This window comes from Homo sapiens, chromosome 7 (assembly GCF_000001405.40).
Source record: "Homo sapiens chromosome 7, GRCh38.p14 Primary Assembly".
NCBI lineage: Eukaryota > Metazoa > Chordata > Mammalia > Primates > Hominidae > Homo > Homo sapiens.
Genome location: NC_000007.14, coordinates 156,700,130 through 156,727,120, shown reverse-complemented (window position 1 = coordinate 156,727,120; position 26,991 = coordinate 156,700,130). Strand labels below are relative to the sequence as shown.

General features: G+C 38.1%; 1 protein-coding gene across 28 annotated transcripts in view; it reads left to right on the top strand.

Moving 5' to 3' along the window:
- Window positions 1-26,991, top strand: part of LMBR1 (limb development membrane protein 1) — a 224,172-nt gene that overhangs the window by 166,063 nt on the left and 31,118 nt on the right. For 22 of the 28 annotated variants that reach the window (XR_007060136.1, XR_007060135.1, NR_146959.2 and 19 more), the window contains 3 exons: window positions 1,284-1,357; window positions 1,596-1,686; window positions 2,943-3,009. Coding sequence is in view for 18 of the 28 variants with exons in the window: in NM_001363412.2 (NP_001350341.1) it covers window positions 1,284-1,357; window positions 1,596-1,686; window positions 2,943-3,009 (232 nt within the window). In the remaining 10 variants the exon portion in view is untranslated. The remainder of the gene's footprint in view (window positions 1-1,283; window positions 1,358-1,595; window positions 1,687-2,942; window positions 3,010-26,991) is intronic. The other 6 variants (XR_007060137.1, XM_005249558.3, XM_017012515.3 and 3 more) reach the window with 1 other exon arrangement.

Genomic DNA, 26,991 nt, shown 5'->3' with positions numbered 1-26,991 from the left:
GGCTGAGATGCCTATAACAAAAGATTAATAAGAGAAAAGCTGACAAACTTATTTAAGATAAGTTTTACATATCACAGGGGTCTTCAGAAATAAAGAAGACCAAAGAAACAGAAAAAGCTGTGTACTTTTATGCTCTGGTTTGTTGAAGAGTGGACAGTAGTGGGAAGTATGATTGGAAGACAGGGGTGTGATCTAATGATTATAAACCGGGGGGATTTAGCAAGGCCTGTTCATATTCTTCTCGGTGTCCTCGTGTCTCCGGAGATAAACATGTGCTTCTCCTCTGGGTGGGTTGCGGGGGGCACCCTTGGATGGGGGTCTTATGGCCTGCTTCGCAGGAGAAGGAGACAGATCAGTGTGTGACCTTCCTAGGTTTTCTCAAATACCAGGTCCCAAATTTTGGAGTAGTGTGTCTTGAACCCCATCACTTTCTACCAGCATCATTTATTTCTTCTTCAAAAGATTGTCAAAAAGTTATTTTTTATTGGGCTGACTGTAGATTCTTAATTATCCCTGGTGTTTCTATTAGATGTAATCTGTGCTGACTAGTAAAACATTCAGATAGTTTCTTTTATTAGTAATCTTTGAAAATACTTCAGTAGGGAATGATTTTTTCAGATCTAATTATAAAAATAGTAACTTTTTTGTGTTTTTTTTTTAAGTTCTAGGTAAAGATAGTTTTTGAGATAGGGATAATTGTTTAGGAAAAAATTTATAGCATTACTTTTTTAAAAATCTATGTTAACAGTTACATCCTTTGTAACTCTGAATTCCCAAGGAAAATTTGGGCAAAGGAAACTTTCAGGTATGGGAACAGGATATGCACATTTACTCTCTTTCTACTCTTAGCTTAATTTTGACATACTTGAATTGTGTAATCTTTGTATATTGTGTAAGCATTCAGATAGCTATGTATCCTATTCTTATTTTTCTATTGTGTTTTTAAAAACTCTTTCCCAAAACTATTCAGGATTTTTTTCCTCAAGTGGCAAGTTGCCCCATTTTATAACAGTAAGCATAATCATGTCATCTTGACAAGTAACTTAAATTACATTTGAGATAAGTAATTTTTCTTGAGCTTATTAAAATTGTTAACATGGTGCCTGAATTTGTTGATGAAATCAGTCTAATGTCATGTCTTGTTGGCCTTTGAAAGTCTAGATGTTATTTCAAAGTAGTAAACATTCATAATTTCAACTGTCTTATTTTATGAAACAGCTGTTTTAGGGAAACCAATATAATGGTGTCATCAAATTCTGAAAAGTGTCTTTCTCCCACCCCAGGGGCCTGGAATAGGAAATGCCTCTCTTTCTACGTTTGGTTTTGTGGGAGCTGCGCTTGAAATCATTTTGATTTTGTATCCTTTCTTTAACTGAACGTTCAGCCTATCCACAAATTTTATACCAAGTTTTCTGGGGCAGTAGTTATTTACTAAGACACTTGTCTAGAAGAGAAAACAACAGGTTAGTCTTCCTCAAGCACTTAAAGCGGCTTTTTGTTTTGCTTTTCCTATGGGCCTTAAGACTTTTTGGAGACTGCCGAGAACTTAGGAAACTTGCATTCTGTTGGAGAGTTTTTTTCCTTGATTCTCACAGCTATCTTATGGTGTCCTCTGTTGTCGGCTTCTATAGCCTTCGATTTTTTGGAAACTTTACTCCCAAGAAAGATGACACAACTATGACAAAGGTAAGGTAGAATCTTAGGTGACTGTGGCCTCTCGTTTGCCTTCCCTGACAGACTGCTTTATTTAATAGTCATTCTGAATGGTTCATTTGCAGTGATAGGTATTTGTTTGTAAGTTGCGTAAACACAAACTGGAAGATTTTCAAAATGCTGAGTGAGTGGGAAAGGGATGTACCCTGTTTAATTTGGATGGCGTCCATTCACTGTAAATGCGGAGAACTGCAGAGCTTGTTAACTAGCTATAGAAGGCTCCTGAAAGGACTCTTTTTCCTCTAAAGAAAACGTATTGCTAATGAGTAACTTGGATTGTGCTAACTGTACTTCAGGGAGCTTGTTTGAAGTCTGAAGAACTTAGTTGCTACAAGTAGTAGGGACAAAGTATTTCAAATTTGAATAATTAAAGTAAGACGGAAGAGTTCTATTCAGAAACATTTTGTAGTCTGAGGCTAATTTGACTTTTTCCACAACATGTCATTGGGTTCAGAATAAAAAGGCTGTTGCCGTATATAGTGACTGAATCTTTATAAAATATTCCCGTAGGCTGACAAAGAAGAATAACTAATAAGAGCTGAAAGCTTGTTTTGTTTTTATTTTATATTTTTAGCCTACTTAAAGGGGAGAAGTTATTTTACACACACACACACACACACACACACACACACACACACACACAGCTATTTCTTTAAACTTAATAAGTAGTTGAGATATTTAGTATCTAGTTTAAGTGATCATAAATATTAATTGATATTTTCAACTCCTCTTATTTACTATGGAAGAATAAACATGGGATGCATTATTACAAAAGTTTAGAGGTTTTGGATTTCTGGTGCTTTTTAAATCTTACAATTAACATTAGAAATAGATGTGATAAAAGAGATCTTAAGCAATAATCTGGCCTTAAAAATGTAGTCAGAAGTATCCAATATGTTAATTATTTTTTGCTTGACAGGCAGAGCCTTTTGAAAGTAACAGCTGCAATCAGTAATGTAAAGTGCATTATCTAGGTGTCAAGTAATTTAAGTATTCTATAACTATATCTGTGCTAGGTACTGTAAACATCTTCTAGAACTTACAGATATAACTTTATTTATTTTAAAAGTGTGTTATTCTTTGAAAATTCTGTACTGAATAGTATCATTAAGAAATCGGCAAAGTACACTAGGTAACTAGAATGCACAATCATTTCTCAGAATGTTACTGGGTTTGATTGTCATCCTGCTGTTTAACTGCCCAATATTCTTTCTCGTTTCTCATAACAGATCATTGGAAATTGTGTGTCCATCTTGGTTTTGAGCTCTGCTCTGCCTGTGATGTCGAGAACACTGGGTAAGTTTCAGTGAGAAATTTTCACTTAAAGATCCATGTTTTTAAAAACTGTCTTTACTGAACTTATTTAACATTTACTCATAAAGATTACCTTTGAAATACAGTGTTTCTTCCTACATTATTTTACACTTTTACTTCTATACTTTATGTATAGGGGCATACCAAGACAAATACTTTTATCAAATAATGACTACTTATTTTTTAAACACTTAAAAGCATTCTTTCTCCAAACAACGGGCTGGTTTTTGTTGTATTTTGTTTTTACTGACACATCTATAAGTTAGGCTTTCGAGTCCTCTAGTGAGGAAACTGCATTAAACTAATTTTTCTATTTAAAAGCTTTTGAGCGTTTATAATTTAGTATGGTTTAAAAAATTGAAAATTTGTAAATTATTTTAAGCTGCTTTGTGTCCACAAAATAGAGGTGAACGCAGTGTAATCTCTGAGAACACACTCTGATTCAAAGGACACCCTTGAGAGTTCCTACTTGCCTGTCATTCATTTCTGTCATTTTCTTATTGTTTCAGTTTACGGAGAATTTGATAATCTTTTAAAAGAAAAACAGATTTTTGCTTTGTCATTGAAATAGTTGAGTAAGTCTTCCCTTAGTTGTCTTTTATAAAATGCTATTGTAGACCATATTCTGAGTTCTTCACTAAATATTATTTCAGACAAAAGTTTCCATTAAGCATTTCTATCTAATTCTCTAGACTTAGGTTTTGACTTAAGAGTGCACACGAATGATTGGAAAATTTTGATCATTAAATTTTAGCTACTTGCTCATAACAAAAATTGCTGGTAACTTTGAGTTGCTTTTGCATTAGCTCTCATATTGCCTCCATTATTTATTGAAGACTTACAGATACCAGGGATGCAGGCTGTGCAAAGAAAGTAGAAGCTTTGTAGTTATCTTCATAATTCTTACAAAGGATTTCATGTTTGTAATAGAAAACAAAAAGTATAAATGTAAAGGGACCACTGTTCCATAAGCTAATAAAAAACTGGTGTGTGTAATAGTCTTATTTCTTTTGTGTTTGCTTTATAGGACTTGTAATTGTTTTGACATCTGCTTATGTGAATCTTGAAAATGCCAAAAGTATGCTCTTTAGCAACCTGATTTGATGTTAAATGTTATCATTTATATTATGACAGTCTATTAAATAATTTCTGTTATATTTCAGCCAACCTATCATTTTAATACTTAGGAAACTCATTCACTGTACTATTATTTAAGATTGATTGCTAATCATTAATATATACCGATTTTATGGAAGAAAATTACATGCTGAGTATAGTTTTAACACAAAGAAAACAAACTAATGGTAAAATTTACTTTTTGAAGGCCAACAAATTAAATTCCAGAGTAGTTTGCCATAGAGATAAATAAAAAGAAAAAAAAGAAAGATGGAACAATTAAAATGCAGCTAACAAATGCCTGGACCCAGCTGTCCAAACAGGATTAATGGAGTGCATTAGGGTACAGTGAGTCATGTGGTGCTTTGCAAAATATCAACACGCACTGCATTACATGTTATGCCCAGTGGCATTGAATAGATGAAAAGAAATAAATACGTTAAACAGATTCATAGAGGCTTTTCACAGTATTAAAAAAGCAAATTTCTAGACTAAAAGAAAAAGCTTTATTTTAGCATTATGGGAAATGCAAACTAGAGAGTTACTTTGTAATTCCTCTATTAACCCTTTAGAATTGAGTCTTTGATTTTAAGAAGATAAAATATAGGGAATTGTCATGAATATTATCCTAGTGTATAACAGGATTTTGATTTACCAGCTGAAAAGCTTATAAGACTAGAATAGAGGATGTATTTAAGCAATCAGATTCCAAGCTGTGACATTTTTCAGTCTTTCTTGTCGCCTCTCTCAAGGAAACCCTGACCTTAGTGTGGTCTCCTTTGCTCCTGTGAAATCAGCCAGCAGCGTCCCATCACTTACAATGGAATGAGAAATGCAGTAACAAGAAAAATCATATTTTATCTCTATATATGTAATTTCTCTATTATTTCAACAGTTTTTTTAGTGAAGAATATAAATTTGATTATAACTTGAAATACATCGAATCTAGTATAAAAGAAATGATGATGTTTTTGCTTCAAAAATGAAAGTGTTCAATGGACATGTTTCTTTTTTAAACATTTGCCCACTATTATTGTTGATGCATCGCAGGCTTTAGATTTAAGTACATGGTGTGATATGACATATTTATTAAATAATTCCTTTTAAATAGCTTGTTATATTTGAATGAAAAATTTTGTACTAACTGAAAAATCACCACTAAGTAAATTTTATAAGCATATTTCTTGCCACAAAGAATTAAGTTGTGAGAAAAATTTTGACCATGTATTCTTGGTTAAGTAGAATTAGTATAAATGATGGTTTTATTTTTCATAGGAAACACAAAGAATCTGTAGTTAAAATTTTTTATTAGAACCCTGAAAAAGTAATGCTATGTAAATGAATATATTTTTCAAAACATTGTTTTGCTGCCTGTTTATATTTAAGTTTTCAGAATCCAAAATTTGGGGAGATTTGATGTCTGTATTTTTAGTAAACAGTTTACTGTGTAGTTTAATAGACTCTCAGGGTGATAAAAGGAGATGTTTGCAAACAAGGTGAAAATAGAACAAGATCAAACTAATTATCTATAGATGTCCAAAATTCTATGCAATAAAATATTTTGAATGTTGCAGTGAATTTTAGAAGAATAGATTCTGTGTGATTGCTGATATGTTCTTTATTATGCTTAATCATGAAACAATTAAGACGTTGATTTTTTGTGTTATTCTTTATTTGAATTCTCCTTTAAAGAGGAAAATTTTTCTCAAATGCAAATGATAGTCTTTGAAATGCTTTTAATAATTTCTATATTGTAATTATTTTTACAGTTATTTTTCATCTTGGAAGCTCTTTCTATAATTTGTAAGTTATTTAGTGTCCAAATACAATTTGTTTTTAATGTACTTATGGTAGTAAAACAAAAACACTTACTCTTTCAAATCAGCTTGAATTTATTTTCAGTATTTTCACATATTTCTCATTTGGGTCCCATATAGTCTATTATCTTACAGGAGTTAAAGTAGATTATTCCTTTTTGCTTCTTGATGAAGGGACCTTGTTTTATAACGGGTCTTTTTTGGAGAGGTCTTTATTTGGGGTTTTGGTAATCCCTATTTATCTGTACCCTGGGCTTTCTCTAGCTCTTGTTGTGAAACAGAAATAAACAATGCTTTCACAGAGGCTTAGCAATGACAAATGTGAAATGGAAGTATAAGTCATATATTCCTAATTATGACATTGATATAAAAATAATTTCAAACCCTATATTGAAAATTTCTCACCAAAAAGTATATATGATTTTATTATATTCAGATATATTATAGAAAATAATAAATGAATAATATGACTTATTATTATTAACTTTATTATTTAACTTTATTAAAGTTATTTATTAACTTATAGTAATTAACTTTTGGTTGATTACTAATGTTCTTATATCTGAGCAATAAGCTTATATATACAGTTGAGATCTTTAAGAATAAAGAATTCTTAAAAATGTTTTGTGCCAAATGTCTAAAACAGTTAAGAGAGCAACTCATGATACCACCATAAAAACTCATATTCCTGATATCTACGAAATGTGTTTCCTGACACTACACTTCTTTCAGGGCAAACAGCCCTGTCTGAGAAAATGTCTGTGGGTCACACATACCTAAATTTAGTCACCTGTTGATATTCAGCTACTTTAAATTTACTTTATTATAATTTTCATGCGGAAAATAATTTCCTTTAGGACCATTTAGCTGGAGGGAACCTTAAGAGGTAATTTGTTTTTTTCTTGTAAATTTGTTTGAGTTCATTGTAGATTCTGGATATTAGCCCTTTGTCAGATGAGTAGGTTGCGAAAATTTTCTCCCATTTTGTAGGTTGCCTGTTCACTCTGATGGTAGTTTCTTTTGCTGTGCAGAAGCTCTTTAGTTTAATTAGATCCCATTTGTCAATTTTGGCTTTTGTTGCCATTGCTTTTGGTGTTTTAGACATGAAGTCCTTGCCCATGCCTGTGTCCTGAATGGTAATGCCTAGGTTTTCTTCTAGGGTTTTTATGGTTTTAGGTCTAACGTTTAAGTCTTTAATCCATCTTGAATTAATTTTTGTATAAGGTGTAAGGAAGGGATCCAGTTTCAGCTTTCTACATATGGCTAGCCAGTTTTCCCAGCACCATCTATTAAATAGGGAATCCTTTCCCCATTTCTTGTTTTTGTCAGGTTTGTCAAAGATCAGATAGTTGTAGATAATGCGGCATTATTTCTGAGGGCTCTGTTCTATTCCATTGATCTATATCTCTGTTTTGGTACCAGTACCATGCTGTTTTGGTTACTGTAGCCTTGTAGTATAGTTTGAAGTCAGGTAGCATGATGCCTCCAGCTTTGTTCTTTTGGCTTAGGATTGACTTGGCGATGCGGGCTCTTTTTTGGTTCCATATGAACTTTAAAGTAGTTTTTTCCAATTCTATGAAGAAAGTCATTGGTAGCTTGATGGGGATGGCATTGAATCTATAAATTACCTGGGGCAGTATGGCCATTTTCATGATATTGATTCTTCCTACCCATGAGCATGGAATGTTTTTCCATTTGTTTGTAACCTCTTTTATTTCAATGTTTATTGCGGCACTATTCACAATAGCAAAGACTTGGAACCAATCCAAATGTCCAACAATGATAGACTGGATTAAGAAAATGTGGCACATATACACCATGGAATACTATGCAGCCATAAGAAATGATGAGTTCATGTCCTTTGTAGGGACATGGATGAAATTGGAAATCATCATTCTCAGTAAACTATCGCAGGGACAAAAAACCAAACACCACATGTTCTCACTCATAGGTGGGAATTGAACAATGAGAACACATGGACAGAGGAAGGGGAACATCACACTCTGGGGACTGTTGTGGGGTGGGGGGAGGGGGGGGATAGCATTAGGAGATATACCTAATGCTAAATGACGAGTTAATGGGTGCAGCACACCAGCATGGCTCATGTATACATATGTAACTAACCTGCACATTGTACACATGTACCCTAAAACTTAAAGTATAATAATAATAAAAAAATCATTGCCCAGACCACCATTGAGAAGTTTTTCCCTGTTTTCTTCTAGTAGTTTTACAGTTTCAGGTCTTACCTTTCAGTTTTTAATCCAATTAAATTGATTTTTATGTAAAAAAAAAAAAGTAACTTGAAAAACGTTACAGTTAAAATGTTACAATTAAAACTAGACAAATGATCGTAAGGGTCTAATTTGTCCTAAGAATAAAGACCTCTAGCTATCTGAGTATTCTGTTTGTTTTCTTTTTTCTGAAACAGATCCTCATTCTGTTACCCAAGCTGGAGTGCAGTGGCACCATCATAGCTCACTGCAGCCTCAACTTCCTGGGCTCAAGCAGTCCTCCCACCTCAGCCTCCCGAGTAGCTGGGACTACTGGCAGCTACTTACACCACACCACCACACCTGGCTAATTTTTTGTATTTTTTTGTAGAGACGGGGTTTTGCCATGTTGCCAAGGCTTGCCTCAAATTCCTAGGCTCAAGTGATCCACCTGCCTTGGCCTCCTAAAGTGCTGAGATTTCAGGCGGGAGCCACGTGCCTGTCCTTGCTGAGTATTTTTTTTTTTCTTTTTCCTTCTTTTTTTTTTTGAGATGGATTCTCACTCTGTTGCTCAGGTTGAAGTGCAGTGGCACAATCTCGGCTCACTGTAACCTCTGCCTCCTGGGTTCAAGTGATTCTCCTGCCTCAGCCTCGCAAGTACCTGGGATTACAGGCGCCTGCCACCATGCCCAGCTAATTTTTGTATTTTTAGTAGAGACGGGGTTATGCCATATTGCCCAGGCTGGTCTGAAACTCCTGACCTCAAGTGATTTGCCCGCCTTGGCCTCCCAAAGTGCTGGGATTACAGGTGTGAGCCACCGTGCCTAGCCAGGCTGAGTATTCTTAATAATACATATGCACAGTCATTTCTGAGATAGATGAACAAATTATTTCATTTGTAGGAAATTGTGTTTTTAGTTTTTAATCATATAAGTGAATGCATAAATAAATAGTCCTGATAAAGAATACTAAAAATTAGAGATCCGGCCGCCACTTCTAATTCCAGTCTCCTCTTCCAAGTTTCCAGAAATGTCTTTGGTTTACAGCTTTTCAGACCTTTTCCTGTGCATATGTATACATGTGTTTGTGTGTATATATGTGTACTTTGTAGAAAATTTTAAAATCTCACCTGAGTATTACTTTGTTTCTAATTGTTTTGTTGGCATTCTCCTTCTTTCTGATGACTCTTAACTTCCTATGCTGCCTAGAGAGAGTTAAAAGAAGAAAATGTTTTGAAATAATTTCCTTTATCAGATCTCAGTCACCTGAACATTAATTTCAAACCAAAAGAGAGTTACAGAAAGAGATAATTAAATGTTTGCCAGTGACTTGTAATTGCCTCATTCTATGGATTCTGTTTTTAATTTCTCTGTGGTGTTTACTGTTTGTAATTTCACCCCCCACATCTTGTCTGTCTTCATTTCTGGTCACTGCTCCTCTCTTTTTCCCTCTGCTTCTCTGGCCATTCCTTAGCTGTGTCTTTTACTGCTCTTCAACTACCACCCATTCACTTGCCCCCAAATCGAGACCTCCAAACCACCACCCACCCTAAGCTAAAACAGAGAAATCTAGCTCTGTGCTACTTACGGGTGTCCTCCTGCCACCTCACACTGGTCATTTCTAAAACAGAACCTGTCATTTCTCTCTCTCCTGTATTTCCCTTCAGTCTCTGGGACACTTTCTATCCAAGTGGTCAAACCAGAAACTTGAGACGTATGGTAAATGCTTCCACCTTCTGTGCCAGTACCTCATGGCAGTACTTGCTTTCATCTTGGTAATATTTCTCACATCTACCTCTTTTTTCTGAAACAAGATTTAGCTCTGTTGTCCAGGCTGGAGTGCATTGGCACAATCATTCACAGCTCACTGCAGCCTCCACCTTCTGGGCTCAAGTGATCCTCCCACCCCAGCCTCCCGAGTAGCTGGGAAAACAGCTGCCCACCACCACACCCAGCTAAACTTTTTAATTTTTTGTAGAGATGGGGTCTCACTCTACTACCTGGGCTTTCTCACTTGGAAAATTGAACTCCTTGAACTCCTGGGCTCAAGTGATCCTCCCTCTAGGCCTCCCAAAGCGTTGGGATTACAGATGTGAACCACCGCACCTGGCCTCACATCTACCTCTTGCTTCTCATTTTCCTTTTTAAAAGTGAGAAGAGTCAGACTTGTATAGCATAAAAAGCAGAGAGCTGAGTATATGATTTTAGTATTTTATTGTGAGAGTAGTGTTTGTGAAGTAGATTCTAAGCGGATGTCCTTTTATTTGAGAAGGATAGAGAAAGAAGACATCAAACCAAACCAAAAGAAATAAGGACATATTTAATTTTCCAAGTGAGAAAGTTTGACTGAGCCATACCATGGAGACCTGTCTCTGGAGAACTTTCCTCAGGAAGATCGCAGCCAGTTACCATCCATGCTGGAGGGCTTAGGCGTGCACTTCTTTGAAAATTAGCACATAAGGTTCTTTCCTGGACTCTAATTATAATTCTCTTTCATTGGATTTTAGTCTGTCTTCAAGTTCACATACTCTAGTTCTGGACGACTAAATTTAATTTGCCTCCAGATTAGAACAAAATGAAATTGTTGCACGTAAATCCTCATGACTAAAATTGATTCGATATTTGCAAATACAGTTTTCCATCTCTAAGCTTTGGTTCCCATTGTTCCCACAGTCTTCTCCCATTCACCTTTCTCTATCTATCCAAATCTTTTTTATTCTCTGAGGCAGAGTCAAATCCTGCATCACACGTGAAGGTGTCTCAGAGTCTTGCACTTTCAACCTTGTATTATACGTACCTGTCTGTATTGACTTTCTCATGAAACTTTATGTTCCTTAAAGGACAAGACTTGTTTTCTGCATCTTTTTATTTTTCACAGCATCTAGTTAATAAGTATTTTTGATGTTAATAAGTATTTTGATGTCAGTGGGTGCCACCATGTTGAGTGTATATTGTGTTCTAGAATAGATGAACTAAGATACTCCATTTGTCTTGCTTTTGCCCTGGTGGTCTTTATTTCCATATTCTAAGCTTTTCTGACCAAATATTTTGGTTTGCTATTAATATTTTAAAAGACCATTACAACAGTAGCCAAGAGGTGGAAACAATCAAAGTGTCCATCGTTGGATGAATGGATGATCAGATTTTGGTACATAAACAATAATGGAATATTCAGGTAAAAGAAGGAAGGACATTTAAGTGAAATAAGCCAGTCTCAAAAAGGCACCTCTTTATAAGTGTGATTCCACTTATAAGAGGTATCTAGAGTAGTTCATTTCATGAGTTGCCAGGAACTAGGGTGAGGAGGAATGGGAGTTCTTGTTTAATGAGTATAGATTATTCATTTTTTAGGATGAAGAGAATTCTGGGGATGGGTAGTACCAATGGCGAATATACTTCCTATCACTGAACTGTACACTTAAAAATGGTTAAATTGGTCCATTTCATGTTATATGTATTTTATCACAATTAAAAAAGAAAAAAGAGTAACTAAATGGGTACATACTACAACATGAATGGACCTTGAAAACATTATGTTGTTATATTGTACGATTCCATTTCCATGAAATGTCCAGAATAGGAAAATCCATAGACAGAAAGTGGATTTTTTTTGGAATATATCCAAAGCCCTTGAACTGTTTATTTTTAAATAGTTAATTTTATGTTATGTGAATTTCACTTCAATAAGTTATTTTTTGGCTGGGTGTGGTGGCTTACACCTGTAATCCCAGCACTTTGGGAGGCCGAAGCGGGCAGGTCACTTGATGCCAGTAGTTCCAGACCAGCCTGGCCAACATCGTGAAACCCCATCTCTACTAAAAATATAAAAATTAGCCAAGTGTGGTAGCGTGCGCCTGTAATCCCAGCTACTTGGAAGGATGAGGCAGGAGAATCACTTGAACCCAGGCAGCAGAGGCTACAGTGACCTGAGATCGTGCCACTGCACTCCAGCCTGGGTGACAGAGCGAGACTCTGTCTCAAAAAAAAAAAAAAAGAAAAAAGTATTTTTTTATAAGTCTTTTACTCAGTAGATACTCAGTAAATATTTGTCCTCTTCTCCGTTTCCTTGGCGTGGCAGTCTAATGCCAGGGCCTAATTGTTTTTAGTAAGTCAGTCTTTATGTGTTTGCATTTGCCTTCTTAGTGCCAGGCACTTGATAAGGGGAGGCAGGTGGAAGGACTTTTGAAAGTCGCCTTTCTGGTGTATAGAGTCCTAACCTGGGGCACCTCCTTTGTCCCTTCTTTCCATTCAGAGTCTACTTGTTATTTAAGGGCTAGTTCAATCCCCACCACACACACACATGCACAGTGGAAGTGTGATCTTGTCATTTCCCTGCTCCAAATGCTGCAAAGACGTTTGCCATTCAAATACTGTACAGTTTCCTTAAGGTAACACATACGATCTATACCTGACCCCGTCTGTGTCTCGTGCCATTCCAAACCTCACATTCTGAGCCATTAGTAATAAAGACATAATCTTCAGGTGTGTTAGAAACAAAGTACATCTGCTATGCCTTCTATGCCTTTGAACACATTGCTTTGTTTACTGCGAGTAATTTTCTTCACCAGCCGTTCTCCGGCAAAACCTAACATGTCATTCAAGACTCAGCTCAGCCATGAACTCCACAAATCAAGTTTGCCATGAGGTATCTCCCGTGCACTCTCATATAACACTTGGTGCAGTTTTCCGTTTATCTACCAGGTCACTTATCACATTCTATCCAATGGCTTTTCTTTTCCTCCATAAAGCTCTACGCTCCTTGAAGAAAGGGATGGCCTGCCACACAACATTTAGCACACATATGCGGTGGGAGGTTTACACACTCTCACTTCCCAGTTCACTTAACTGTTTGTATATAGACATTTGGCCATACTGGAAATATTGCATTGTTTAAAAAGTCTTGTCTTCCTAGGAAGGCTATCAATACCGTGAAGGGAATAAATGTCTTACATACTTACTTTGTAGCTTCTGTAGTACATGCACAGTACAATGTAGGAATATGGTAGGGACTCAAAAATTCTTTAAAAATTTAACTTATAACACAAAAACAAATACAGAAAATATAGAGTTTCTAAATAAATGTAATTGGTACAGCCATACATTAATATATTAATGCATGATATTGGGTATATAGTCTGAAGTCTAATAAATGCATTTTAACAGCTTTATTGAGGTATAATTGACATACAATAAACTGCACATGTTTAAAGTGACAATTTTATAAGTTTTGACTTATACAAACACCTGTAGGACCACCACTGCCATCAAGATAGTGAACATATTCATCACCCCCAAACATTTCTCCCCTCAGACTCCGCTCGTGTTCCCCTATCCACCATCAGCTCCAGGCAGCCACTCATTTGCCTTTTGTTTTTTTTTTCCAGACAGATTTTTTAGAGCAGTTTTAGGTTCACAGCTAAATTGAGGGAAAAGTGCAGAGATAGCACACGTACCTCCTGTCCCCCACATGCAGAGCCTTCCCCACTGCCAACATCTCCCACCAGAGTGGCACATTGGTTACAGTTGATGAACCTGCACTGACACATTATCACCCAGAGTCCAGAGTTTACGTTAGGGTTCATTCCTGGTGTTGTACATTCTATGGGTTTGGGCAAATGTATAATGTCCCATATCCACTGTTATGGCATCATGCAGAGTAGTTTCACTGCCCTAAAAATCCTCCGTGCCCTGTCTATTTATCCCTCTCTCTCTCTCTCACCCCCGGCAGCCACTAATCTTCTTACTGTCTCAGTAGTTTCACCTTTCCCAGAATGTCATATAGTTGGAATCACACAGTATATAACCTTTTCAGATAGGTTTCTTTCATTTAACGTATATTTAGGGTTCCTCCATATCTTTTCATGGCTTGATAGCTCATATCTTTTTAACGTGGAATAAGATTCCATTGTCTGGATATACCACAGTTTAATTTATTTTTGTATAAATTTACAGGGGTACAAGTGCAATTTTGTTGCATGCATAGATTGTGTAATGGTGTAGTCAGGGCTTGTAGGGTGTCTGTCACTTGAATAATGTACACTATGCCCATTAAATAATTTCTCATCGTCCAGCCTCCCCCCTGCCCTGTTGCCTTTTTCAGTCTTCATTTTCTATCATTCTGCACCCTACATCCATGTGAATGCATTATTTGGCTCCCATCTATAATTGAGAACATACAGCATTTGTCTTTCTGTATCTGACTTGTTTCACTTAAGATGATGATTCCACCCATGTTGTTGTGAAATACATGATTTCATTCTTTGCTCTGGCTGAATTGTATTCCATTGTGTTTTTATACCACATTTTCTTTATCCAGTTGTCCATTGATTGGCGCTTAGGTTGATTCCATATCTTTGCTATTGTGATCAGTGCTGCTATAAACATATGAGTGCAGGCATCTTTTTGATATAATGATTTCTTTTCCTTTGGGTAGATACCCAGTACTGGGATTGCTGGATCAGATGGTAGTTCTATTTTCAGTTCTTTGAGAAATCTCCATACTGTTTTTCCATAGAGGTTGTAATAATTTACATTCCCACCAACCGTATAGAAGTGTTCCCTTTTTTCTGCATCCTCTCCAACATTTGTTGTTTTTTTTTACTTTTTAATAGTAGCCATTCTGACTGATGTAAGATAATATCACATTGTGTTCTTAATTTGCATTTCTCTGATTAGTGATGTGGAGCATTTTTTCATATGCTAGTTGGCCATTTGTATGACCTCTTTTGAAGTCTGTCTTTTGCCCACTTTTTGAAGTGTGTCCTTTGCTCACTTTTTAATGAAGTCATTTTTGTTATTGTTGTTGAGTTGTTTGCATTCCTTGTAAATTCTGGATATCAGTCTGCTGTTGGATGCATCATTTGCAAACTTTTTCTCCCATTCTGCAGGTTATCTGTTCACTCTGTTGATATTTTGCTGTGCAGAAGCTTTTTAGTTTAATTAAGTTCCATTTGTTTATTTTTGCTTTAGTCGTCTGTGCTTTCGAGGTCTTAAGTCATGAATTCTTTTCCTAGACCAATGTCCAGAAGAGTTTTCCTAGGTTTTCTTCTAGTATTTTTATAATTTCAGGTCTTACATTTCAGTCTTTAATCCATCTTGAGTTGATTTTTATATATGGCGAGAGATAGGGGTCCAGTTTCTTTTATCTGCATATGGCAATCCAATTTTACCAGCACCTTTTATTGAAAAGGGTATCCTTTTTTCATTGTATGTTTTTGTCAGTTTTGTCAAAGATCAGCTGGCTGTAAATACGTGGCTTTATTTTTGGGTTCTCCATTCTGTTCCATTGATCTGTGTCTGTTTTTATACTAGTACCATACTCTTATGGTTACTGTATCCTTGTTGTATAATTTGAAGTTAGGTAAGTTGATGCCTCCAGTTTTGTTCTTTTTCCTTAGGATTGCTTTGGCTATTCATGCTCTTTTTTGGTTCCGTATACATTTTAGGGTAGTTTTTTTAATTACGTGAAAAATAACATTGGTATTTTGGTAGGGATTGCATTGAATCTATAGATTGTTTGCAGTAGTGTGGTCATTTTAACAATATTAATACTTCTGATTCATGAGCATGGGATGTTTTTCCATTTGTTTGTGTTATCCACAATTTCTTTCATTAGTGTTTTTTGTAGTTTGTTTGTTTGAGACAGAGTCTCGCTCTGTCGCCCAGGCTGGAGTGCAGTGGCGTAATCTTGGCTCACTGCAAACCTCCATCTCCCAGGTTCAAGCGATTCTCCTGCCTCAGCCTCCCAAGTAGCTGGGACCACAGGTGTGCGCCACCACACACAGCTAATTTTTTGTATTTTTAGTAGAGATAGGGTTTCACCATGTTAGCTAGGATGGTCTCGATCTCCTGACCTTGTGATCTGCCCACCTTGGCCTCCCAAATTGCTGAGATTACAGGCGTGAGCCACTGTATCCAGCCTGTAGTTTATTTTATTTATTTATTTTTTTCTTAAAGATATCTTTCACCTCCTTGGCTAAATATTCTCCTAGATATTTCTTTATTTTTCTTCTTCATTTGTGAAGCTTAGTTTTGCTGGATACAAAATGCTTGACTGACAATTATTTTGTTTCAGGGGACTACAGGTAAGGACCCCAATCCTTTCTGGCTTTTAAGGTTTCTGCTGAAAAATTTACGGTTAATCTGATAGATTTTCCTTTATAGATTACCTGATGCTTTTGTTTCATACCTTTTAAGATTCTTTCCTTCGTTTTGACTTTAGATAACCTGATGACTACGTGTTTGTGTGATGATCATTTTGTGATGAATTTCCCAAGTGTTCTTTGAGCTTTTTGTATTTGGACATTTGCATATCTAGCAAGGAAGTTTTCCTCAGTTATTCCCTCAAATAAGTTTTCCAAACTTTTAGATTTCTCTTCTTCCTCAGGAACACTAATTATTCTTAGTTTTGACCATTTAGCATAATCCCAAATTTCTTGGAGGCTTTGTTCGTGTTTTTAAATTCTTTTTTCTTTGTCTTTGTCCAGTTGGGTTAATTTGAAAGCCTTGTTTTTGAGCTCTGAAGTTCTTTCTTTTACTTGTCCAGTCTATCGTTGAAACTTTCCAGTGCATTTGGTATTTCTCTAAGTGTGTTTTTCATTTCCAGAAGTTGTGATTGCTTTTTCTTTATGATATCTATTTCTCTGAAGAATTTTTCATCCATATCCTATATTGTTAACATTTCTTTAAATTGGTTTTCACCTTTCTCTTGTATCTCCTTGAGTAGCTTAATAATCAACCTTCTGGGCCGGGCACGGTGGCTCATGCCTGTAATCCCAGCACTTTGGGAGGCCAAGGCAGGCAGATCACGAGGTCGGGAGATCGAGAGCATCCTGGCTGACATGGTGAAACCCCGTCTCTACTAAAAAATACACAAAATTAGCCGGGCATGGTGGCGGGCGCCTGTAGTCCCAGCTACTCAGGAGATTGAGGCAGGAGAATGGCGTGAACCCGGGAGGTGGAGCTTGCAGTGAGCCAAGATCGCGCCACTGCACTCCAGCCTGGGTGACAGAGTGAGACTCCATCTCAAAAAAAAAAAAAAAAAAAAAAAAAATCAACCTTCTGAATTCTTTAACTGGCAATTCAGAGATTTCTTCTTGGTTTGGATCCATTGCTAGGGAGCTAGTGTGATCTTCTGGGAGTGTTATAGAACCCGGTTTTTTATATTGCCAGAATTACTTTTCTGGTTCCTTTTCATTTGGGTAGACTAGTTCATTGGGAAGGTCTGGAACCCAAGGCCTGCTGTTCAGATTCTTTTGTTCCACTGGGTGATCCCTTGATACAGTGTTCTCCCCCTTCACCTAGGGATGGGGCTTCCTGAGAGCCAGCCTGCAGTGATTGTTATTGTTCTTCTGGGCTTAACCACCCAGCAGGGCTACCAGGCTCTGGGATGGTGCGGGGGAATGCCTGCAAAGAGTCTTGTGATGTGGTCTGTCTTCGGGTCTCCCAGCTGTGGATACCAGCATCTGCTTTGGTGGAGTTGGCAGGGGAGTGATGGAGACTCTGTGAGAGTTCCTGGTTGTAGGTATGTTTAGTATGCTGGCTTTCTCAAATGCTGGTTATGCCAGGAGTGAAAGTGTCATGTGGACAGACTCAGGACCTCTGGTTAGCCAGGATGTTGCAGGCAGTGGAATTAGCTTTTGTTTTCTCCTTCCTGGGAGCAGGGTTATTCTGTCATGAGTTGCTGTAATGGCCTGATGTGGTTGGCCAGTTGGTTGGCCTCACTTTCAAGAGAGTTCCAGCTGCCATAGTAGTAGAGGTATCTAAGCTTGCCCCAAGTTGGCCAAGGTAAGTATTCTGGTTTCTCAGGTGATGGGTGGGGCCATAAAGCTCCCTAGACTTTATGTCTTTTGTGTTCAGCTGCCAGGGTAGGTAGAGAAATACCATCAGCTGGGGGCAAGGTCAGGTGGGTCTGGGTTCTGATTCTCCCTGGGCAGGGCTTGCTGCAGCCACCGTGGTTGTTGGGGGGTGGTTCTCAGGCCAATGGGGTTTTGTTCCAGAGGGGATCTTGGCCACCTGTGCTGTGTTATATAGTTTGCCAGGGAAGTTGGGGAGAGCCAGTAGTGAAAGGCCTCATCCAGCTCCCACACAGTTGGCAAGGCTGGTCTCTCTTCTGCAGTCCCTGCCGCAGACCTTGTCCCAGGCCGTAAGCTTCCCCGCTGAGAAAGCAAGCATGGCTTTCAGGCTTTGCCCTTCCCCATCTGCCCACACTGTCCGTGGTGGCTTCTGTGCTCTTATCTGCAGCAGTTCCCATTTGCACCCTGCCCCCCTACCAGATTCTGCTCAAGAAAATTTGCTCAAGAAATTCTGCTCAAGAAAATTTGTGCCCAAAGTTATTACAAATTTCAGTTGGAAGCTTCTTTCATCCTGTAACCCCACCCTAATTCCACTGGCTGCCTTCCCCAAGGTCCCCTGTGAGATATAGTCAGGGATGGCTTCCCTGGGCTTGAGCTGGAGACTGGGAGAGCCTACAGGGCTCTTCCTGCCACTGATGCTGCTTTTATTTTTTGTGTGGCTCCCTGAATCTATTTCAACTCTAAGTAAGGTTAAATCCTTTTCCCATTATCTGGATTTTCAGCTACCACAGTGAGGATGTGTGTTCAGAGGAAGGTTTTCCCCACCTCACACACTGGGAACTCAGTTTTTTGCCTGTGTCTCATGGAATTTGCAATGATATGCTGCTTCTTTCAAAGGATTCGTGAATTCTTTGTTTTCCTGGTACATCCTACAATGGTTCTTGGAGCAAAAGTTGATGGTGTGAGTCTCCGCGCACTGTTCTGTCCTTCCAAGTGGGAACTGCACATTAGTCCTGCCTCCTGTCTGCCGTCTTCCTCCAATTTTTTTTTTCTGGCTATTGTAAATGGGATTGCCTTCTTGATTTCCTTCTCAGCTAGATAGTAGTTTTTTTTTTTTTTTATATAGAAATGCAACTGGTTTTTGTACATTGATTTTGTATTCTGAAACTTTACTGAATTTATCAAATCCAAGAGCTTTTTTGTGGGGGGATCCATTAGGTTTTTCTAGAGATAAGATCATATCATGAACGAACAGGGATAACTTAACCTCCTCTTTACCAATTTGGGTGCCTTTTGTTTCTTTCTCTTGCCTGATTGTTCTGGCTAGAACTGTCAGTACTCTGTTGAATAGGAGTGGTGAAAATTGACATCCTTGTCTTTTTCCAGTTCTTATGATTTTTGGCTGTGGTACTGTTGTATATGATCTTTATTATTTTGAAGTATGCTCTTTGCATGCTTAATCTGTGGAGGGCTTTCGTCATGAAGGGATGCTGAAGTTATCACATGCTTTTTCTGCATCTTTGGAGATGATCATGTGGTTTTTGCCCTTAATTCTGTCAGTGTGATATATCACATTTACTGACTGTGTATGTTGAACCATCCTTACACTCCTGGTATAAAACCTGCCTGATCATGGTGTATTATCTTTTTGATGTGCTGTTGGATTCAGTTTGCTAATATTTCATTGAGAGTTTTTGCATCTGTGTTTATCAGGGATATTGGTCTGTAGTGTACTTGTCTGTTTGGGTATCAGAGTGATTTGGGCCTCATAGAATGACTTAGGAAGAATTCCCTCCGCCTCAGTTTTTGGGAACAGTTTCAGGAGGATTGGTATTAGTTCTTCTTTGTACATTTGGTAGAATTCAGCTGTGAATCCATCTGGTCCTGGGCTTTTCTTTGTTGAGAGATTTTTTTAATGGATTCAATCTTGCTACTCATCATTGGCCTGCTCGGGTTTTTTATTTCTTCCCGGTTCAATCTTGAGAGGTTGTATGTTTCTAGCCAGTAATTTATCCATTTCCTCTAGGTTTTCTATTTTGTGAATGTATAGTTGTTTATAATATTCTCTGATGATCTTTTGTATTTCTGTGGTATCGGTTGTAATGTTTACTTTTTCATTTCTGATTTTCTTTGTGTTGTCTCTTTTTTTTCCCTTGTTACTCTAGCAATTGGTTTATCAGTTTTATTTATTTTCTCGAAGAACCAACTTTTCATTTTCCTGATCCTTTGTACTGTTTTTTGGTTTTTATTTTATTGTTTTTTTTTTGGTTCTGCTCTGATCTTTGTTATTTCTTTTCTTCTACTGATTTTGGATTTGGTTTGTTACTTTTGTAGTTCCTTGAGGTATGACATTAGGTTGTTAATTTGTATCTTTCAGTATCTTTCATGTAGTCACTTGATGTCATAAACTTCCCTCCTAGCACTGTTTTTGCTGTATCTCGCAAGTTTCAGTATGTTGTGTTTCCATTTTCATTTGTTTCAAAAATTTTTTTTTTAATTTCTGACTTAATTTATTCTTTGACCCAATGGTCATTCAGAGGCATGTTGTTAATTTCTGTGTACTTGTATGTTTTCTGAAATTCTTCTTGGTATTGATTTCGTGATATTGATGCATGAAAATTTTTGATTTTTAAAAATTTGTTGAGACTTGTTTTGTGTTTTAACATATGGTTTATCTTGGAGAACGTTTTATGTGCTGATGAGTAGAACATAAATTCTGCAGTTGAGCAGAATATTCTGTAAATGTGTTTTAGGTCCGTTGCACCAAGTACAGTGTTTCTTTGCTGATTTTTTTTCTCGATAAGCTATGAATAGGGTGTTGAAGTCCACCACCATTATTTCATTGCTGTCTGCCTCTTTCTTTAGCTGTAGTAATATTTGTTTTATGAATCTTGGTGCTGTTGGCTGCATGTATATTTGGATGTATTGTTATATCCTCTTGCTGAATAGGTCCCTTTATCATTATATAATGACCTTTGTTGTCTTTTTTTTTTTTTAACTGTTTTTGATTTAAAGTCTGTTTTATCTGGTGTCAGTATAACTACTCCTGGTCTTGTTTGTTTTTTTGTTTGTGTGGAATATCTTTACTTTGAGGCTGTGTCTTCATAGGTAAGGTGGATTTCTTGTGAGCAGTGTATGGTTGGATCATGTTTTTCTCTATCCATTCCACCAATCTGTATCTTTTAAGAGGAGAATTTAATCCATTTATATTCAAGGTTAATATTGATATGTGAGGTTTTGTTCCTGTCATATTTTTTCATTGTTTTCTAGTTTTGTAAGTTCTTTGTTATCTTTTTCTCTATTTCTCTTTGTGGTTTGGTGGAATTCTGTAGTATTGCCATTGGATTCCCTTCTCTTTCTCCTTTGTGTGATTGTTTTACTTGTGAGTTTTATACTTTCATGTGTTTTCATGACGGTGAATATCTTCCTTTTGTTTCCACATTTAGGACTTTGAGCATTTCTTACAGGATCTGTATAGTGGAGACGAATTCTTTCAGCATTGCTTGTCTGCAAAAGACTTTATCTCTCCTTCATGTATGAAGCTTAATTTTTCTGAAAATAGAATTCTTCAATGGCAGGCTTTTTTCTTTTCTTTTTGCGACAGAGTCTCACTGTGTCTCCCAGCTGGAGTGCAGTGGCATGATCACAGCTCACTGCAACCTCTACCTCCCAGGCTCAAACAGTCCTTCCACCTCAGCCTCCCAAGTAGCTGGGACTACAGGCACATGCTACCATGCCCAGCTAACTTTTGTGTTTTTTGTAGAGATGGAGGTCTTACCATGTTGTCCAGGCTGGTCTCGAACTCCTGGGCTCAACCCATCCACCCACCTTGACGTCCCAAAGTGCTGGGATTACAGGTGTAAGCCACTATGCCCAGGGGCAGGCTTTTTGTTTTAGTGCTTTGAATATGCCCTCTCATTTTTTTTCTGGCCTATAAGATTTCTGCTGAAAAGTCTGCCATTGCTCTTTTCTTACTGATTTTAGAATTCTTTCACTTTGACTTTCGACAATCTGATTATAATATGCTGTGGTGAAGTCCTTTGTGCAGTGTATTTTTCATGGACCACTGGACCTCCTGTATTTGGATGTCTAAATCTCTTGCTATACTTGGGATCTTTTCACCATTTATTTTATTAGATATGTTTTCTAAACTTTTTGATCTTTCTTCCCCCTCAGGAATCTGTACGTTAGGTTTTTATGTAGTCTCAAACATCTCCAAGGCTTCATTCTTTTTTGTTCCTTTTTCTTTATTTTTGTCTGCCTGGATTATTTCAAAAGACCTGTCTTTCACGTTCTGAGATTCTTTCTTCTATTGGTCTATTGTTGAGGCTTTTGATTATATTTTATACTTCCTTATATTAATTTTTTTGTTTCAGAATTTCTGGTTTTTTTTTTTTTTAAAGACAACTATTTCCTTAGTAAACTTCTTATTCACATCCTATATTGATTTCTGATCTTTGTACTGGTTTTCAGATTTCTCTTACATCTCATTGAGCTTGTTTGAAATTAGTATTTTGAGCTTTAATCTGGCATTTTGAGGGTTTTTTTTTTTCAGTTAGGATCTATTGCTGGAGAATTATTGTTTTCCTTTGAGGGTGTCATATTGCCTTGGCTTTTTCAGGCCTTTTGTATCTTTACATTGATTTCTGCGCATCCGGAGCAATAGTTGCTGCTTATTTTTAAATTTACTTTCATTGGGAGGGGACTTTTTTTCTTGACTATGTGACCATGATGTGTTTGGGCAGGTAGGGCTGTTTGGCTTTGTTTCAGGATGTGCAGTGATAAAAACGCTGCATGATTTCTTTGGCTATAAATAGCCTTTGTGGTAGCTGTGGGTTTGTTGGTGTTATGGGGCGGTTATTGGTGGCAGCTATTGTGAAGTTGTACTGGGGACTGGAATGCCTGATGGATCCCTTTTCAGGTTTCATTGGTAGCAGTGGTGGGCTAAGCATGTCTGTTCTTGTGCCATGGGACAGTGTATTCTGGCGCCTGTGTTGGCAGTTCCAGGCTATTTCTTGGGCCTCTGTGTAGCTTTCCTGGATGCTGGTTGTAGTTGTGTATGCTGAATGGGTAAGTGGGCCCTCAGCCCCCTTGTAACCCAGGGTGGCATGGGTCATGGTGGTAGCAGTGGTTGTGCAATGATCTTCTAGTTTCCAAGCACTTTGCCCTTGTGTTAGAAGTTGTTGCAGTGGGCTTTGCATGTTGACCTCTAGGTCAGTAGGCGATGTTTACAGGTTAGAGCCAGCTACAGTGGGTACAACAGGATTTGTGCCCAGCCTCTTTTCCATGGGAGAAGTACTTGGGTGTCTCAGGTGGCAGATTGGGTAATGGAAAACTCATGAGCCCGGATGCCATGCTCCACCTTGGAGAGGCATGGGGAAGGGCCCAGGCAGAGCTGGACTGGGCAATTGTACTCAGGTCCCCCATGGTGATTGTATGCAAAAGTCCCAACAAGGGTAGTGAGGCAGCCCCCAAGCCCCTGGGAAAATGCTTGGGTGAGGGGTGGCCACCACTATGCCAGGGTCTCAGCCTAGGGAAGGATTGACATTGACAGCCCAAGCAGCCACAGTTGTGGCCAGCAGACATGGAACTTGTGTCCCTCTCCTATCCTTGTTCTCGTGGAGTGCTCCCTCCCTTGTTCCGACTGTGGCAGCGAACCCAGGTATCTAGTCAGTCCTAGAAGTTTGCATCCAGTCTGCCACTCAGCTTAGGGCCGTGGGAGATGCCACCCAGCCCCCATCCTGGCCTCTGAGGCAACTCTCCTCCTGCTGAGGTCTTAGGAGACAGCCTGGTTCCTGTGCCAGTTGGGCTGGATCCCAGGTCATGCTCATTTCTCAGTTCTGGCTGCAGGAGTTCTTCCCCTACTCAAGCCTCTTTTCTGCAAACCCCAGCCCAAGTCCCCCTAACTCCAGTGGTTGGTGCTGCTAATTTCCACACATTGTTGAGCAGCTAAGATCAAGAATGGCATCTTACTGTAGCTGCCTGGGTCTGAGAGAGCACATAGGACACACCCTGGAGCAGTTTCTTCTCATGGTTTCCTGGCTGCTCCTTAAATGTGATTCTGAGATTAGGAGAGTCAAGGTGCTCTCCAATGGCCTGGATTGTACAGTTTCCCAGGGAAAGTGGACCCCAGAAGGACACTCACTTACACTCTTCCATATGGGGGATTCATTCCCCATTTTTGGCCCCAGGCCACATGGGCTGCCTGTTTTCCTTCTCTTTTTCAGAATTCGACTTTTCCTTTTCAGGAAGCTGCTTTTGCCACAGTTTATCCATTTACCTACTGAAAGACATCTTGGTTGCTTCCAGATTTTGGCAGTTGTGAATAAAGCTTCTCTATAGATATTCATGTGCAAGTTTTTGTGTGGACAAAAGATTTCAACTCCTTGGGGTAGATATCAAAAAACATTTTTCTTGGATCATATGCTAAGAGTATGTTTAGTTTTCTTTTTTAAAAAACCTTCTCTGCTGCTGCTGAGATGTGAAAAAGAAGTAAAAATATTAAGAAATGAAAAAAGAAAATTTAACTGTCAAAGTGTCTTCTAAATTGGTTGTGTCAGCAAAAGAAACTATCATGAGAGTGAACAGACAGCCTACACAATGGGAGAAAATTTTTTCAGTCTAACAAAGGTCTAATATCCAGAATCTACAAGGAACTTAGATAAATTTACAAGAAAAAAACAAACCTCATTAAAAAGTGGGCAAAGGACATGAACATACAGTTCTCAAAAGAAGACATTTATGTGGTCCAGAAACATATGAAAAAAAGCTCAACATCACTGAGCATTAGAGAAATGCAAATCAGAACCACAATGAGATACCATATCATGCCAGTCAGAAGGGCAATTATTAAAAAGTCAAGAAACAACAGATGCTGGTGAGGTGGTGGAGAAATAGGAACACTTTTACACTGTTGTTGGGAATGTAAGTTAGTTCAGCCATTGTGGAAGACAGTGTGGCGATTCCCCAAAGACCTAGAACCAGAAATACCATTTGACCCAGCAGTCTCATTACTGGGTATATACCCAAAGGAATAAAAATCAGTTATAAAGATACATGCACATATATGTTCATTGCAGCACTATTCACAATAGCAAAGACATGGAATCAACCCAAATGCCCATCTGTGATAGACTAGATAAAGAAAATGTGGTACATATACACCATGGAATATTATACAGCCATAAAAAGGAACAAGATCATGTCCTTTGCCTGGATATGGATGGAGTTGGAAGCCATTATCCTCAGCAAACTAACACAGGAACAGAAAACCAAACACCACATGTTCTCACTTATAAGTGGGAACTGAACAATGAGAATACATGGACACAGGGAGGGGAACAACACACACTGGGCCTTGGTCGGGGGAGGGAGAGAATCAGGTTAAACAGCTAAGCATGTGGGGTCTAACACCTAGGTGATAGATTGATAGGTGCAGCAAACCACCATAGCACATGATAACAAACCTGCACATCCTGCACATGTATCCCAGAACTTAAAATAAAATTCAATTTTTGAAAAGAGTGGTTGTACCATTTTACATTCCTGACAGCATAGAATGAGAGTTCCTGTTGCTCCACATCCTCACCAGCATATGGTGTCAGTGTTCTGGATTTTGGCCATTCTCATACATGTGCCTGACCTTCTTTGTATAACTATAAATTAGTTTGCACTTCCTAGAATTTTATATATATGAAATCATACAATATGTACCATTTACCTGACTTCTTCTACTCATCATATTTAAGATGCATCTGTGATGATGTATGTATGAATAGTTCATTTTTTATTGTTGAATAGTACTCTCTTGTATGTATATATCACAATTTGTTTATCTGTTCACCCATTGGAAGACCTTTGAGTTGTTTACAACTTTTGGGTATTGCAAATAATGCAGCTTGAACAGTCATATCAACATTTCTGTTGGATGCATATCTAGGAAGGGAAGATTTAATTTGCATTTCCCTGATAACTAATGTGATTATTTGCCATTTGATATGGTGTGGCTGTGTCCCCACCCATATCTCATCTTGAATTCCCACATGTTGTGGGAGGGGTCTGGTGGGAGGTAATTGAATCATGGGGGCAGGCCTTTCCCTTGCTGTTTTCATAATAGTAAATCTCATGAGATCTGATGGTTTTAAAAAGGGGGTTTCCCTGCACAAGCTCACATTCTCTCTTGCTGCTGCCATGTAAGAAGTGCCTTTCACCTTCCACTATGATTGTGAGGCCTCCCCAGCCACATGCAACCATGAGTCCATTAAACCTGTTTTTCTTCCCAGTCTTGGGTGTGTCTTTAGCAGCAGCATGAAAACAGACTAATACAGTAAATTGGTAACAGTAGAATGGGGCACTGCTGAAAAGATACCTGAAAATATGGAAGCGACTTTGGAACTGGGTAACAGGCACAGGTTGGCACAGTTTGGAGGGCTCAGAAGAAGAAAGGAAAATATGGTAAAGTTTGGAACTTCCTAGAGACTTGTTGAATGGCTTTGCCCAAAATGCTGATGGCAATATGGACAATAAAGTCCAGGCTGAGGTGGTCTCAGGTGGGGATGAGGAACTTGTTGCGAACTGGAGCAAAGATGATTTTTTTTTAAATTTTATTATTATTATACTTTAAGTTTTAGGGTACATGTGCACAACGTGCAGGTTTGTTACATATGTATACACGTGCCATGTTGGTGTGCTGCACCCATTAACTCATCATTTAGCATTAGGTATATCTCCTAATGCTATCCCTCCCCCCCTCCTCCCACCCCACAACAGTCCGAGGTGAGTGATGTTCCCATTCCTGTGTCCATGTGTTCTCATTGTTCGATTCCCACCTATGAGTGAGAACATGCAGTGTTTGGTTTTTTGTCCTTGCAATAGTTTGCTGAGAATGATGGTTTCCAGTTTCATCCATGTCCCTACAAAGGACATGAACTCATCATTTTTATGGCTGCATAGTATTCCATGGTGTATATGTGCCACATTTTCTTAATCCAGTCTATCGTTGCTGGACATTTGGGTTGGTTCCAAG